General features: G+C 52.4%; 2 protein-coding genes across 42 annotated transcripts, besides 7 other annotated features; one reads left to right on the plus strand and one right to left on the minus strand.

Moving 5' to 3' along the window:
* On the plus strand, positions 3-12,288 carry PPOX (protoporphyrinogen oxidase). 31 transcript variants are annotated; one of them, XM_047423581.1, is made up of 13 exons: positions 3-88; positions 1,115-1,209; positions 1,375-1,509; positions 1,631-1,761; positions 2,270-2,402; positions 2,707-2,851; positions 3,268-3,458; positions 3,935-3,995; positions 4,181-4,299; positions 4,684-4,794; positions 4,895-5,044; positions 11,124-11,276; positions 11,665-12,288. In XM_047423581.1, exons 2-13 carry the CDS (start codon positions 1,123-1,125, stop codon positions 11,836-11,838), a joined length of 1,590 nt encoding a protein of 529 aa, XP_047279537.1. In that variant the 5' UTR covers positions 3-88; positions 1,115-1,122; the 3' UTR covers positions 11,839-12,288. The 31 variants fall into 31 exon arrangements, 30 of the variants coding, with proteins under 30 accessions (XP_047279537.1, XP_011507976.1, XP_011507972.1 ...); XM_011509663.3 differs by lacking the exon at positions 3-88 and adding an exon at positions 130-448; XM_011509664.2 differs by lacking the exon at positions 3-88 and adding an exon at positions 131-448 and having other exon boundaries at positions 1,646-1,761.
* Positions 1,756-2,419: an enhancer, noted in NCBI's record as "H3K27ac-H3K4me1 hESC enhancer chr1:161137271-161137934 (GRCh37/hg19 assembly coordinates)". NCBI's record gives its function as "activates a minimal SCP1, AML or CMV promoter by ChIP-STARR-seq in primed H9 embryonic stem cells {active_cell/tissue: H9 hESC(primed)}" and the evidence as "EXISTENCE:reporter gene assay evidence [ECO:0000049][PMID:30033119]".
* Positions 5,585-12,243, minus strand: B4GALT3 (beta-1,4-galactosyltransferase 3). Of its 11 annotated transcripts, none has more exons than XM_047433401.1 (9): positions 11,698-12,243; positions 11,187-11,381; positions 10,709-10,854; positions 10,083-10,349; positions 9,268-9,503; positions 8,134-8,324; positions 7,880-8,002; positions 6,502-6,606; positions 5,585-6,339 (listed from the first exon to the last, which is right to left on the minus strand). In XM_047433401.1, exons 4-9 carry the CDS (start codon positions 10,333-10,335, stop codon positions 6,315-6,317), a joined length of 933 nt encoding a protein of 310 aa, XP_047289357.1. In that variant the 5' UTR covers positions 10,336-10,349; positions 10,709-10,854; positions 11,187-11,381; positions 11,698-12,243; the 3' UTR covers positions 5,585-6,314. The 11 variants fall into 11 exon arrangements, with proteins under 11 accessions (XP_047289357.1, XP_005245623.1, XP_047289358.1 ...); XM_005245566.3 differs by having other exon boundaries at positions 5,585-6,364; XM_047433402.1 differs by having other exon boundaries at positions 10,083-10,370.
* Positions 10,553-10,602: a silencer, noted in NCBI's record as "silent region_1471". NCBI's record gives its function as "represses an Ori minimal core promoter by ATAC-STARR-seq in GM12878 lymphoblastoid cells {active_cell/tissue: GM12878}" and the evidence as "EXISTENCE:reporter gene assay evidence [ECO:0000049][PMID:35858748]".
* Positions 11,442-11,491: a silencer, noted in NCBI's record as "silent region_1472". NCBI's record gives its function as "represses an Ori minimal core promoter by ATAC-STARR-seq in GM12878 lymphoblastoid cells {active_cell/tissue: GM12878}" and the evidence as "EXISTENCE:reporter gene assay evidence [ECO:0000049][PMID:35858748]".
* Positions 11,442-11,969: a biological region, named in NCBI's record as "H3K27ac hESC enhancer GRCh37_chr1:161146985-161147484".
* Positions 11,470-11,969: an enhancer, noted in NCBI's record as "H3K27ac hESC enhancer chr1:161146985-161147484 (GRCh37/hg19 assembly coordinates)". NCBI's record gives its function as "activates a minimal SCP1, AML or CMV promoter by ChIP-STARR-seq in naive H9 embryonic stem cells {active_cell/tissue: H9 hESC(naive)}" and the evidence as "EXISTENCE:reporter gene assay evidence [ECO:0000049][PMID:30033119]".
* Positions 11,702-11,871: a silencer, noted in NCBI's record as "silent region_1473". NCBI's record gives its function as "represses an Ori minimal core promoter by ATAC-STARR-seq in GM12878 lymphoblastoid cells {active_cell/tissue: GM12878}" and the evidence as "EXISTENCE:reporter gene assay evidence [ECO:0000049][PMID:35858748]".
* Positions 13,108-13,609: an enhancer, noted in NCBI's record as "H3K27ac-H3K4me1 hESC enhancer chr1:161148623-161149124 (GRCh37/hg19 assembly coordinates)". NCBI's record gives its function as "activates a minimal SCP1, AML or CMV promoter by ChIP-STARR-seq in primed H9 embryonic stem cells {active_cell/tissue: H9 hESC(primed)}" and the evidence as "EXISTENCE:reporter gene assay evidence [ECO:0000049][PMID:30033119]".

Here is a 14,013-nt window from a genome sequence, read left to right on the forward strand (position 1 = left end):
ATGTGCTTATTTGTATTTTTGCTTAGGGGGTGATAGAGAACTGAGCCAAATTGGAGTCTTCTTGGGACCCAAGTTCCCTCTCTAACAGGTGGGGGCGCTCTCAGAGCCGAGGGGGAAGGTTTCGGGGATGGTGCTGGACCCGGACCTGTGTCCCCCAGCAGTGAAGGTTATGTACTGGGAGGAAAAGAGGAAAGGCATACTTGAGTGAGGCTGCGTGCAGGCTCTGGGGCGACTGGTTTGGTCGGCGATGGGGGAGTGCCACTGTTGACAAACACTGGGTACGTTGCCGGGCGGCCCTAGCTCCCGTAGGCCCGGTCTGTTGCTAACATCAAGGAGCTGTTTATGGAGCCGCCTCCCCGTGGACTGGCCTTAAGTGTCCCTATCTATTCTCCCTACGACCAAAGCTCCTGCGGCCTTCCCTCTAGGGTTGTCACCCTAGCTGGACCTGGTAAGCTTGTGCTGGGGAACGCTAACTCCAGCATTAAGCGCTCGCCGCCTCGGTCCTGAGGAGGGCAGTGACGGGTACGGCCGCTCACTCCCAGCTCGGCGCTAACACGGTTAACCTCCAGCTCTTACAGCTGCCGTCGCTCCGCCTCTGCCAGTTCAATGTTTTATTGGTGAACGTGATCCGGGGCCTTCCAAGTCCCGCCAATCCAGATGTAGGAGAGGTAGGGTTAGGCGCGTGCCGCGAGAACAGAGTGGACGGAGCGTAGGAGAGACCGAAAAGGCTGGGGGTGGGAGTAGCGGATTTGAAGCACTTGTTGGCCTACAGAGGTGTGGCAAGCAGAGCACCTCAGAACTCAGGCGTACTGCCCGCCGCCCGAGCCCTGCGAGGGCCGATAGCGAGGGTGTGGCCCTTATCTGCACCCAGCAGAGCGCCGGCGGGGTACGGTCTTAGGACCTCGATCTCCTTCTCCCTCATTTTCTCTCATCCCTACCTATTGTGGGTGAGTCCTGGCCCCTGGACGGGGACCTCGCTGTTCCACCAGCCCATCCGTGCACACTTAGTTTCCCCTAAAGCAGTGAGTGGCCGGGATAGAACTCAAAACCGGCGGGGCTTCTGGAGCGCAGGTTGTCCCCGGTCTGCCTGTCCATATCGCCCCCTTTCCCCCAGGTTTCCGCATGGGCCGGACCGTGGTCGTGCTGGGCGGAGGCATCAGCGGCTTGGCCGCCAGTTACCACCTGAGCCGGGCCCCCTGCCCCCCTAAGGTGAGTGCTCCACTTGTGCCAGAGGGAGCTTCATTTAATGCTCTTCCCATTTCCATCAAAAGCTAGATGGATCCTGGCCCTCTGAATATGCCTCTTCCCCTCCCCTCCTGACCTCTCGCCGGCGGCTACAGGCGGTGCTGCAGTGTCTCTCCCTCTTGTCGCCAGGTGGTCCTAGTGGAGAGCAGTGAGCGTCTGGGAGGCTGGATTCGCTCCGTTCGAGGCCCTAATGGTGCTATCTTTGAGCTTGGACCTCGGGGAATTAGGCCAGCGGGAGCCCTAGGGGCCCGGACCTTGCTCCTGGTGAGAGGCTTGTGGGATGTCTAGGAGAGGTTGTGGAGGGGGCTTCCATTGGGGAATAGAGTTTAGGGGAGGAAGTATGTTTGGTGGGTCAGATCTTCCCTTAGTTTCTCCTCTTCTGAGGGCATGTGGAGAGCAGGTTTCTGAGCTTGGCTTGGATTCAGAAGTGCTGCCTGTCCGGGGAGACCACCCAGCTGCCCAGAACAGGTTCCTCTACGTGGGCGGTGCCCTGCATGCCCTACCCACTGGCCTCAGGTAACACCAGCACCTCCGCTCCTTTTACTGTGCCCTCATCCTCATATGCCTTCCATTTCTTTCTTCTTTTCTTTTTTTTTTTTTTTTTTTTTTTTTTTGAGACGGAGTATCGCTCTCGCCCAGGATGGAGTGCAATGGCGCGATCTTGGCTCACTGCAACTTCCGCCTTTCGGGTTCAAGCGATTCTCCTGCCTCAGCCTCCCGAGTAGCTGGGACTACAGGTGCCTACCACCACGTCTGGCTAGTTTTTGTATTTTTAGTAGAGATGGGGTTTCACCATATTGGCCAGGCTGGTCTTGAACTCCTGACCTTGTGATCCGCCCGCCTCGGCCTGCCAAAGTGCTGGGATTACAGGCGTGAGCCACCACGCCCGACCTGCCTTCCATTTCTTCATCTCCCTGTCAGCCTTCCCAGCAAAAGGAAGCCAAATGAGTGGAAATGACCCCAGCGCCTGGAGCTGGGGAGGTATGTCAGGAGCTTCCCCCTCACTATGCCTTTCTCCATGCAGGGGGCTACTCCGCCCTTCACCCCCCTTCTCCAAACCTCTGTTTTGGGCTGGGCTGAGGGAGCTGACCAAGCCCCGGGGCAAAGAGCCTGATGAGACTGTGCACAGTTTTGCCCAGCGCCGCCTTGGACCTGAGGTGACACTTGCCCAGAGGCCCCAAACCTCTTCCCTCCTAAACCAGCTGCAGAGCTCCCTGTTCAAATCTACCACCTAGGGGCTCTTCTGTATCATTTGGGGATGCCCTCTTCTCTTCATACCCCACCCCCTCATAATTCCCAAAACTCATTATTGGGAGTGAAGGCCTTCATTTCCATCCGTCACAGTGGGAATGTCCCCCAACCCAAACCCTATCCCACCCTCATTCCCTACCAAATAGGGGCTGTGGAAATCAGTCAGTGTAGATTATTTTTTCGCTCCTTAGTCCTAGTCTCACCCTTAAGGTGGCGTCTCTAGCCATGGACAGTCTCTGCCGTGGAGTGTTTGCAGGCAACAGCCGTGAGCTCAGCATCAGGTCCTGCTTTCCCAGTCTCTTCCAAGCTGAGCAAACCCATCGTTCCATATTACTGGGCCTGCTGCTGGGGGCAGGTGAGGGGGGATTGATTCAGAGGGTGAAAATATTAAGTACTGCCAAAGTGAGGGAGTGGGGACAAGGGGTGCTATTCAATGATTCTTTTTTTCTTTTTTGAGACGGAGTCTTGCTCTGCTGCCTAGGCTGGAGTGCAGTGGTGCAATCTCAGATCGGCTCGCTGCAACCTCCGCCTCCCAGATTCAAGCAATTCTCCTGCCTCAGCCTCTTAAGTAGCTGGGATTACAAACATGTGCCACCACTCCCAGCTAATCTTTGTATTTTTTTGTAGAGATGCAGTTTCACTATGTTGGCCAGGCTGGTCTCAAACTCCTGACCTCAAGTGATCCACCCGCCTCGGCCTCCTAAAGTGCTGGGATTACAGGTGTGAGCCACTGCATCCAGCCTCAATGATTCTTCTTTGCTTCCTCTGCAGGGCGGACCCCACAGCCAGACTCAGCACTCATTCGCCAGGCCTTGGCTGAGCGCTGGAGCCAGTGGTCACTTCGTGGAGGTCTAGAGATGTTGCCTCAGGCCCTTGAAACCCACCTGACTAGTAGGGGGGTCAGTGTTCTCAGAGGCCAGCCGGTCTGTGGGCTCAGCCTCCAGGCAGAAGGGCGCTGGAAGGTAGGGGAACCCCTGGAGTGTAATGAACCTGTCAGTGTTTCCATCTTTATCCAAGTGGCTTAACTAGGCCAGGGCCGATAGGACTGGAGTTCCTCATTGTTTTTGTGCCTTAGAAGCTACTTAGACATGGGCTACCCCAGAATCCTAGGCCCTATTTGTGAACCTTCCTCAAAGAGCCTATGCAAGTCTGTGGATAGAAGTAGTACTTATAAGTGGCTTAGAGATAGGGGAAAGAACCCAGCTTCACTGAACATTTCAGAACAGCCACACTGGCCTGTCTGGTCCACTTCCTGGAGTACACAGAGGAATGATTTTTTGTGAAGTCTACATAGTCACCCAATCTCTTCATCCTGGGTCAGTACACAGTCTCCCCGGCCACATGGGTGCCTGGGAAACTGAGAGTGAGGCACCAGAAGTCTCTTTTCACTCATCAAATTCTCATTTTCTGGGTCTCTCAAATGTTTTCATGCTCTCAGGTATCTCTAAGGGACAGCAGTCTGGAGGCTGACCACGTTATTAGTGCCATTCCAGCTTCAGGTAATGGAATAGCCACCTTCCCCTTCCCCAACCCCTACCAGTGAGAAGCAAAAGCTATACCTTCCTGGGTCAGCAGGACCACACCATGCCCCTGAACTGGTCATCTCTATGGGAGTCTAATCCCAAAGAGGACTGACAACTGTAATGGGAATGCCTTCTGAGTCAGGCCTCTGCCTGATCTCTAGTGCTCAGTGAGCTGCTCCCTGCTGAGGCTGCCCCTCTGGCTCGTGCCCTGAGTGCCATCACTGCAGTGTCTGTAGCTGTGGTGAATCTGCAGTACCAAGGAGCCCATCTGCCTGTCCAGGTATGATAAAGGGACGGAGAGGCTGGGCATGGTGGCTCACACCTGTAATCCCAGCATTTTGGGAGGCCGAGGTGGGCAGATAACAAGGTCAGGAGTTCGAGACCAGCCTGGCCAACATGGTGAAACCCCATCTCTACGAAAAATACAAAAATTAGCCAGGTGTGGTGGCTTGCACCTGTAATCTCAGCTACTCGGGAGGCTAAGGCAGGAGAATCGCTTGAACCCAGGAGGTGGAGGTTGCAGTGAGCTGAGATCTCGCCATTACACTCCAGCCTGGGTGACAGAGTGAGACTCTGTCCCCCCCACCCCCCCAAAAAAATGGGAAGGAGAGACAGCCTCAGCTAGAGCCCTTTCCTTCTGACGCATGAATGTCCTTCTCTCCAGGGATTTGGACATTTGGTGCCATCTTCAGAAGATCCAGGAGTCCTGGGAATCGTGTATGACTCAGTTGCTTTCCCTGAGCAGGACGGGAGCCCCCCTGGCCTCAGAGTGACTGTGAGGAGGAGGAAACTTTGCCTAGTGGCATTTCCAGAGGGCTCCTCTGTGCTCCATTGTAGGCAAGGCCAGACTGATCAGTGCTATATTCCCTCCTTAGGTGATGCTGGGAGGTTCCTGGTTACAGACACTGGAGGCTAGTGGCTGTGTCTTATCTCAGGAGCTGTTTCAACAGCGGGCCCAGGAAGCAGCTGCTACACAATTAGGACTGAAGGAGATGCCGAGCCACTGCTTGGTCCATCTACACAAGGTAAGTTGGGATAAACTTCCCTCAGCTCTCCACTGAAGGCCTTGAAGACAGAGACTGGAACATTTGTCACTGTATGTCAGCCAAGGCCTAGGACATCAATAATAAACTTTTCCCTGCATCCTCTCCTCTCTTCTCAGAACTGCATTCCCCAGTATACACTAGGTCACTGGCAAAAACTAGGTAAGTTGGGAAAACAGCTGGGCTGAGGAGGGCCAAGGACATCAGACCCCCAGCTAAAACATTCCTTTCATCCTTTCCTTCCAGAGTCAGCTAGGCAATTCCTGACTGCTCACAGGTTGCCCCTGACTCTGGCTGGAGCCTCCTATGAGGGAGTTGCTGTTAATGACTGTATAGAGAGTGGGCGCCAGGCAGCAGTCAGTGTCCTGGGCACAGAACCTAACAGCTGATCCCCAACTCTCATTCATGAAAATAAAAATTGCTGGAGCTTGGCTTGGTCTGGCTGTTCTATCACCTATAGGCATAAGAATGCGGGGCAGCAAAGAGGCAAAGTGTGCCTGGGATGCAGAAAGCAGGAGCAGATGCGAGACAAAGTCCTTTATTAGAAAATATATCAAAATCCCAGCCCCCTGAGCCAGGACCAGAAGAGGGAGCTATTCCAGCATAGGCAGAAAATGCCCAGGGAGGGGCTTCCTTCACCAAACAACTTCCCGGGAACCATAAATAGAATAAATATTCACAGAGGTCCGAGGAGAAGCCAGATCACTCTTCTCTCCATGGAAGAGGGAGGGGCTTGGGGTCCAGCCCTGCTCCTACTCTAGGGGCAGGGACTCCTAGGAATCGTCACATAAAATCATGACATCAAGGATTCACAGTCATAAGCCCTACAGGAGACCCTAGAGAGAGGGACCCCTCAGGTCTACAGGAGCCCAGCTCCAGTCCAGCAGTGAGGGAGAGGCCCCTACCCCCTAGCACGGCACCAGAGTTCAGTTCCCTCACATCCCTCTGAGAACAGTGAGGAGCTGAGGGTGGGGAGAATACAACCCCATGAATTCGGTTTCATGATTAAGGTAGACAGGAAGGAGGAGTCAGTGTGAACCTCGGAGGGCTGTGTGGTTGGCAGTAGATAGAGGCCCAGGCCTGGCTGGGGGCCGGCGTTGCAGCATCTCTTGACGGAAGGCTTGGGAGGAACCAGGTGGGTAACGTGGCCCAGAAGGAGCCCGAGGACCCCGAGGGTCAGTCCCAATGTCTGCTGTGATGTTGGTATAAAGAGGCCCCAGCTCTCGAGCCAGCAACTGGTATGTCAGTGAGTTCATCCCATCTTGCGTCCAGGAATTCTGGGTACGGACCAGGAGGTCAAATCTGAGGGTTAGAGGTTGGAGACTAAGACCCAGAAAGGAACAGCCAGAAATCTAGGGACCTTTAGGATTTTCCTGGCTAGGGGTACAGAACCCTGAGGATCCAGTAACAATTCCCAGGCAGTCCTTCCTTCTTCCTACCTGTGGGGATTTTCCTCATTGCCCTTATCTCCTCGGTGCTTCACCATCTTATAGTGTCCTACAGATGTGGGGGGCCGAGAGATCTTCATCCCAGCCAGGCGCACCCTATGGGAAAAGTGAGGGTATCATGGGGGATCCAGAGTAGAGAAAAGCAAGGAAGGGATTAAATGTTTCTGTACACACAAAAAAACAACTATTACTTAGTAGGCAAAAGAAAAAAAAAGCCCAGGACAGAAGTCAAACAGAAAGAAGGAAATGGCTGAAGAGAATATAAAAGCTGGATGTATCCAAATCCTCAGGGCCCAGTGCCAGTCACCCTAGGGCCTTTAAACAGTTGGCAACCTATTCCCTTGGCTTCCTAAAGGGCTCCTAGGAGCTGCCCTTGCAGTCTAGGAAGGACGCAGAGAGAGGCCATTCTGTCAAAAGAATAAGAGAAGACTGGGAGTTGCTGAGAATCTTAGAATAGTGACTGAGCTACCCCAGCTTCTCTCCCACATCCCCCATGTTAAGAAAAAGGTAGGCCAGGTGCAGTGGCTCACACCTGCAATCCTAGCACTTTTGGATGCCAAGGCAGAAGGATCACTTGAGGCCAGGAGTTCAAGACCAGCCTGGGAAAATAATGGGACCTTGTCTCTAGAGAAAAAGAAAAAAAAAAAAAACGAAAGAAAGAAAAGAAAAGGGTAGAACCAGGTAATCAGGACCTTAAAAGAAACAAACTCCACTTCTGACACACAGAAGCATGGAGTGCAGATGGCCTGGGAAGGAACTAGAAGAATACTTATGTATATTTACAATTCACTGGGTATTTCACACACATACAGAGGATGAGAATTCACAGAGATGTCATCACAGAGGACACAGGGGGAATGGAGGCAATTGGTCCTGCATACCAAGCCCAAATATTCATACCACAGACATGAAATTGGGTCAGCTGAGGCTGAAGGTCAGAATGTTTCACATGCTAAAAATGAGTTGGCCCTGTGCCAATGGCACAGGCCTTTTACAAAGCGATTCTGGGAACATGGAGCAGAGCCCCTCTCTCCTAACCCCATAGGAAGTGGCCTGGCTGGAACCCCAGCAGAAGGCAAGACTAAGCTGTCTCTGGGCCCCTTTCCAGTTCTGGAATCCGACGATACTATTTCCTATTGATCTTATGTCCTCTCCCAAGAACAAACTAACCAGGAGACTGAAGGATGACACAATGGGCAGTAGCATGCAAGCCTGACCTGGGTATCCTAAAAAGACTAAGGGAAAGGAATGGGCTCAGTGCAGGACCAGGGAGCTAAAGGTTAGTGTTGAAGGGCTATGGTCAAAGGTGGTCTTAGAGGACAGGGATCCAGACTGGGGTCAGGAGGGAGGAAGTGGCAGGAAGTCTGACCTGGTAGCAATGTCGTCATCCTCACCACCCCAGCCCCAGTATTCATTGGGGAAGCCATTCATCTTCAGGTACTGGTCAGGAGTAAGTGCTGAGACTCCTCCGAAGTACTGGGGGTACGGGAGGCTAGGGAGAGAAAGATCCTTGCATACCCCGAGTCTTCTGGGGACACATCCCCAACCACAATCCGCTTGGCTCTCCTCCTTCCACAGGATAGTAGGCTTCCCTGTTTCCCAGTACCCTTCCATGCCCTCTACCTGTATCCAAACTTGTTCATAGCAACGGCAACATGGCGGGGTCCCCGGGGGTCACACACATACAGATTGTGGTCATTTTCTGGCAAGAGGTCCACATCGTGCAAGAACAGGCAGTCCCACTCTTCATCACGCAGGGCCTCTCGCACCCCAACGTTCAACAGTTTTGCCCTGTTAAATGTTCCATTTCCAGCCTGGAAGATAATGGAGGGGAACCAGACTATGTCTGTAGGTGGCACGGAGAAAAGGGGGCTAAAGAATAAAAGTGAAGGCCGGGCGCGGTGGCTTACGCCTGTAATCCCAGTACTTTGGGAGGCCAAGGCAGGCAGATCACAAGGTCAGGAGATTGAGACCACCCTGGCTAACACGGTAAAACCCCATCTCTACTAAAAATACAAAAAATTAGCTGGGCATGGTGGTACACGCCTGTAGTCCCAGCTACTCAGGAGGCTGAGGCAGGAGAATGGCGTAAAACCCGGGAGGTGGAGCTTGCAGTCAGCCGAGATCGTGCCACTGCACTCCAGCCTGGGGGACAGAGTGAGATCTCAAAAAAAAAAAAAAAGAAAAAAAAGAATAAAAGTGAAAAGAGGGAAATCAAAGTGGGGTGGAGGGCAAGGAGAATGAAAAAGAAAGACTATCTTTTTCATTTTTCCACTTAGTCATTTGACAAATCTTGCTTGTGTATTGGTATGGACCTGATACTTAAGATGCTGCTGTCTAACATTTAATCCTGACAATTGGCAACCAACAATGGTGTGGTGTGGAACAGATGGTATATTAGTTATCTTATGCTCTTTCCTCATGTTAGATGTTTAAGTATCTTGCTCAGAGTCATACATGTAACAAGTGACGGAACTAGAATTTTAGCCCTATTGTGTCCAATTCCAACTCTGCACAAGCCATTCAATAAAGAAAAAATCACAGGAGAGTGTAGGACAGTGGGAATAACCTAAGCAGATTAAGGAAAAGTATGGGACTAACAAAGTTGGAAGAGCAGTGCCGGGTGCTTCTCCACACTCTAACAGTCTGGCCTTCTTAAAATTATTCTAGGGACCCATTTAGATGAAAGTGAAGTGGCATGTGCTTGAGGCTTCCTTAGAAGAAAGTCAGTCAAAATGAGGTGGAGATTGGGGGTACCTGGTGGATGACATAGATGCCATAAGCAAGCTGCTGGCGCTGCAAGAAGGGGTGCAGGTGGTAGAGCAGCAGGCGCAGGTGGTGCTCCCGGGCACGATGAGGCACAATGATGGCTGTTCGGGAGCGGGGCTCACAACCTGCAGGGCGGTACCGGCCCCCTGGTTCTACCCGGGGATTCCGCTCCACAATCTCTGCCAGTGATGGCACTGGGCTAAAGGACACCGACACAGGACCCACTGTTGGGAAGGAATGGCAAGTAGAGGGATCAGAGGGGCAAAGAGAAAAGAATCAAACTAGGGTTTGGGAATACCTCTGACACTGGCAGTCTGGTTCTGGGGCTTAGTTCTCAGGGCTCACTCAGAAATCTCGCATGCCTTGGATTACCTATCACTGGGACAGCTCTACAAAGGCTGGAAGGTGCAGGATCCTTACCTAGCCTTCTCTTCTTATTTTAGGGTTGCCTAACTTTCTCCTGTCTTACAGGGTTGGAAGCTATAGTTGAAGGCTGGAGAGACTTGCAACTAATTAAACCAGGGCTCATCTACAAGGAAAACAATTCCTAGCCTGGGGCAGGAAGAGCCCATAAAGGGACAAGCAGTAGAAAGTGGAAACCCAATAGTCTAATCTAAACTCCCAATTCAGAGTCTACTCTATCTCAACCTCAGCCCTCTATCTCAACCTCAGCCTACCTGCAGCCTCAGCCTACCTATCCTCTTCTAAGTTCCACTTCTGCCACTCCATGCCTCCCTATCCCCAAGCCTCCCTGTCTCCGCACCTTGTCCTTCCTTTCACCACCTCCTTCCTCCTGCACTTACCTAAGAGAGGAGATCGTTCTGGACAGTAGGGCAGACCTTGAGGAGCTGGAGGACCCCCTGGGGCCCCAGGCAGGTGACTGAGGTTACTGTAGACATCACGAGGGTGAGAATAGTCAAATGTCGGTCCCTGATCTCGGCCAAATAGGGCACTGAGACTTCGGAAGCCCCCCAGTGACAGGTACATCATGACAGCCAGCTGGGAGCCCACAAGCAGGGCCAGCGTGCAAGGCCGCTCCAGCAGCCTCCGCAACATCCTGGGGGTGAGATCTAGGGAGGGAGAGGGGAATTCTGGGGGTAGGCAGGAAGAGAGCAAGCCAGCAGAGAGGTCAGTAGGTAGGGTTGAAGGTGATGCCAGGGGTAAAGAGGAAAAAGCAGAAAACAAAGTCACAGAAGGGAGCACACAGGTGCACAGTCACGCAAGGAAACAGAATGTAACCACCAGTAACCCTACCACCTGTCACTTCAGCCCAAGTTTCGCTCTCCTCTACCTCCCCCCAAACCACTCCCACCATCTACTGTCAGTCCTCACCCCCAAAAATGTTTACATCATTCAAATCTCATGTTCATTTCAGAAAGTCTCTAGAGAACCCCCTCTTCCAATTTTAGAAGGGAAGAGATAGACTCACCTAGGTTCAAGCTGTCTTCTTAGGGATCATGGGGGCTCCAGGGGGTCCCGGGGGGACAGAGATGTGAGGCATTATCTAAAATTGGAAATGTCACAGAGGGCAGAGAAAGGCTCCATCCAGCACTCCAGCAGCGAATCTGGGACCAGCTGGAACAGAAGTGGTAAAGGATAACTAGCTACCTGCACCGCCAGAGATCAGGATCAGGGTGAAGCTGGTTTCCCAGCAGGCGAAGTGAAGGAAAGTGGTTGGAAAGGAAGAGGAGGAGCAGGAGATGGTAGGTCCCTCGCCTATCTCCCGTGCTACCCTGGAATGATAAGTGTCAGGTTCATACTTAACCACCCCCGTACCCCCACCCCAACAGGACAGATTGGGGAGTGGGGACAGGACAGCTAATGGAAACATTGTTTTCCCCCAGACCAAGAACCAGTTGAAGTGGCGACAGAGTCATGACAGGACCGTGGAGTGGCCTAAGGAGTACCCAGGGCGAAGTAGGAAACAGGCTCCTTCTATTCTTCATGTGCCTGGGTGCCAACTCCTCAGGTGCAGGGACCGTGACCACCTGGGGGCTGTAAGCGAACAGCCCCGGAGCTCGGCGGAGAGTAGGGTGGGGGTGGCGTCCTCTACCTTTTCTACCTTTCCCCTCTTCTAGCGGGGGTGGGGAGGAGGGTTACTGCTGAAGAGAAAGGGAGAGGGAGAGCAGGGGCAGAGACAGTCAGGGGTGGCTGGAAGGGCTCACCTAGAGGGGCGTGGTCCGCGCTGTGGAGGGGGTTAAAACCCAGCTCTTTCGGAGCACGCCCATCCTATCCCAGTCTCTTGCTTTTGCCCTACCTACTAGCAACGTGAGCCCGCCCGGCCCCCGTCCATACTTCCACCTAGGACCCCGTCCCTGCTCAGGCTCGTCTCCAGGCGTTACCCAAAACTTCTCACTCTCTCGAATGCCCAAACCTTTATCCCAGGCCTCCGTGTCGACGCATTCCCAGCGCACATACCTGGTCTTTTGCTGCCTGTCGTCACCGCCACCCCAACAGCCGGGCAGGCATCGCTGCCGCCATCTTGGAAGCGGGCGCTGCGGGGGCGGGGTCTCGCGTCATGGGGCGGGGCCTCGGGGCGGAGCCACCCGGGCTGACTAGGCACCCGGTCCCAGACACCGCGTGGCCGGGGGCTTGTGAGGGAGCAGCGCCTGAGCCTGCCCACCTGGAACGCGTTGTAGGCGACCCCCTGGGGAGCGGGTGCTAGGGTTCAACTCCACTACGCAGACTGCTAGTGGGATTTCATTTCCTGCCCCTCAGATTTGTAAAAGCAGAAGCTCAAGCCCTTCATTTTCCTCTGGGCCGAGACTGATCAGGAGGCTAGTGAGCCGGTTTCTGGTGCTCCGCTGACCTCGTTATCACCTTGTGGTTGGCTGAGCCCTCTCCCAGTGTGTCAGTGGCACCCCCTGCAGCCTAGTGCCACTTAGTATCAATTGTTCCTTACGCAGGCTACAGCGTTGCGGACCGCTCTAGCGCATTTTTGTATTCCCGTTGTATCCCGCAGGCCTGGAAATAAAAAGCGATTAGTTAATAAAACAATGAAACATTGAAGGTGGAGGGAAAGACAGCGTCTTCTTTAAAGTCAAATGATGTTTCCCCAGATATTAGAGTAAAATGGATGCTCCGTTAACATGCAATATGTTTACCTTACGACAAACACTACCGCCTAGCATATTGTGTTCCTTAGAAGCAGATATTCACGCTGAAGAAGCAATCAGAGACTTGAATAACTCACAGAATCTGCCCCAAAAAGCCCATGGTCTTGTGTATCTTGTATGGAGGGAGGGATGTAAACAATATAACGTGATAAATATGCTGGCCTAGAAGTGGCAACTCATTCATACGTGGAGATTCTAGAAAGGCTTCCCAGAAGTGATGGCTAATGGGAAACCTGAAGGACTTGTCTATAGCATATCCTTCTGCTTTAAAGATTCTGTTTTCATGGGAGTTATTTTACAATTCATGTAGGTAACTGATCTGTATGCAAATTCTATCCTGTCTGGTAGAGGTTCAATTAACCTGCTGTTCCCCACACTGTGGGGAAAAAAAGCAGTTTTGGCGTCCATTTTCATATTCATTTCTGTTTTCCTGATCCATAAATATGTCCGTTCTCTAGATTTTCTCTTGTATTAATTATAACATCTGCTAGTTTCTTCATGAGTTAGGTAAAATAAACACGTGTTCATTCTTTTCTTAATTTCTTTTTTCTTTACTTTTTTTTTTTTTTTTTGAGAGGGAGTCTCCCTCCTGTTGCCCAGGCTGGAGTGCAATGGCGCTATCTCGGCTCACCGCGACCTCTGCCTCAGCCTTCCTCAGTAGCTGGGATTACAGGCATGCGCCACCACACCCGGCTAATTTTGTATGTTTAGTAGAGACAGGGTTTCTCTGTGTTGGTCAGGCTGGTCTGGAACTCCCGACCTCAGGTGATCCACCCGCCTCGGCCTCCCAAAGTGCTGGGATTACAGGTGTGAGCCACCACGCCCGGCCTTTTTGTTTACTTTTTTTTTTTTAATTTAAAAATTTGTGACAGGGTCTCACTCTGTCACCCAGGCTGGAGTGCAGTGGCAAGATCACAGCTCACTGCAGCCTCAACCTCCTAGGCTCAAGGGATCCTCCCACCTCAGACCCGTGAGTAGCTGAGTAGCTGGGACAACAGCACATCCAGCTAATTGTATTTTTTGAAGACACAGAGTTTTACCATGTTGTCCAGGTTGGTCTCCAACTCCTGGGCTCAAACTATCTGCCCACCTTGGCTTCCCAAAGCGCTGGGATTACAGGCGTCAGCCACAGCATCAGGCCTCTTAATTTTATTTCTCTTTTTCCTTCCTTCCTTCCTTCCTTCCTTCCTTCCTTCCTTCCTTCCTTCCTTCCTTCCCTTCTTCCTCCCTCCCTCCCTTCGTCCCTTCCCTTCCCTTCCTTCTTTTTTTTCCTTTCCTTTCCTTTTTTTTTTTCCCAAATACCCAGTCTTCAAGGAGAATTTTTTTTTTTTTGAGTCGGAGTCTTGCTTTGTCACCCAAGCTAGAGTGCAGTGGTGCGATCTGAGCTCACTGCAACCTCCGCCTCCCGGATTCAAGCGATTCTCCTGCCTCAGCCTACCGAGTAGTTGGGATTACAGGCTCCCGCCACCAAACCCGGCTAATTTTTGTATTTTAGTGGAGACGGGATTTCACCATCTTGGCCAGGCTGGTCTTGAACTCCTGACCTCATGATCCACCTACCTTAGCCTCCCAAAGTGCTGGGATTATAGGCATGAGCCACTGCACCCGGCCTATGTGT

This window comes from Homo sapiens, chromosome 1 (genome assembly GCF_000001405.40).
Source record: "Homo sapiens chromosome 1, GRCh38.p14 Primary Assembly".
Classification (NCBI taxonomy): domain Eukaryota; kingdom Metazoa; phylum Chordata; class Mammalia; order Primates; family Hominidae; genus Homo; species Homo sapiens.

What these genes read in the sequence shown, in the direction of transcription:
- B4GALT3 (NM_001199874.1), bottom strand. Translation starts at nt 10,335, where the DNA reads ATGTTGCGGAGGCTGCTGGAGCGGCCTTGCACGCTGGCCCTGCTTGTG. An exon ending in AGAACGATCTCCTCTCTTAG is followed by an intron (nt 9,504 to 10,082) that starts GTAAGTGCAGGA and finishes CCTTCCCAACAG; the next exon opens with TGGGTCCTGTGTCGGTGTCC. An exon ending in GCATCTATGTCATCCACCAG is followed by an intron (nt 8,325 to 9,267) that starts GTACCCCCAATC and finishes ATTATCTTCCAG; the next exon opens with GCTGGAAATGGAACATTTAA.
- PPOX (XM_011509663.3), top strand. Translation starts at nt 343, where the DNA reads ATGGAGCCGCCTCCCCGTGGACTGGCCTTAAGTGTCCCTATCTATTCT. An exon ending in GGGCCCCCTGCCCCCCTAAG is followed by an intron (nt 1,210 to 1,374) that starts GTGAGTGCTCCA and finishes TCTTGTCGCCAG; the next exon opens with GTGGTCCTAGTGGAGAGCAG. An exon ending in AGGCAGAAGGGCGCTGGAAG is followed by an intron (nt 3,459 to 3,934) that starts GTAGGGGAACCC and finishes TCATGCTCTCAG; the next exon opens with GTATCTCTAAGGGACAGCAG.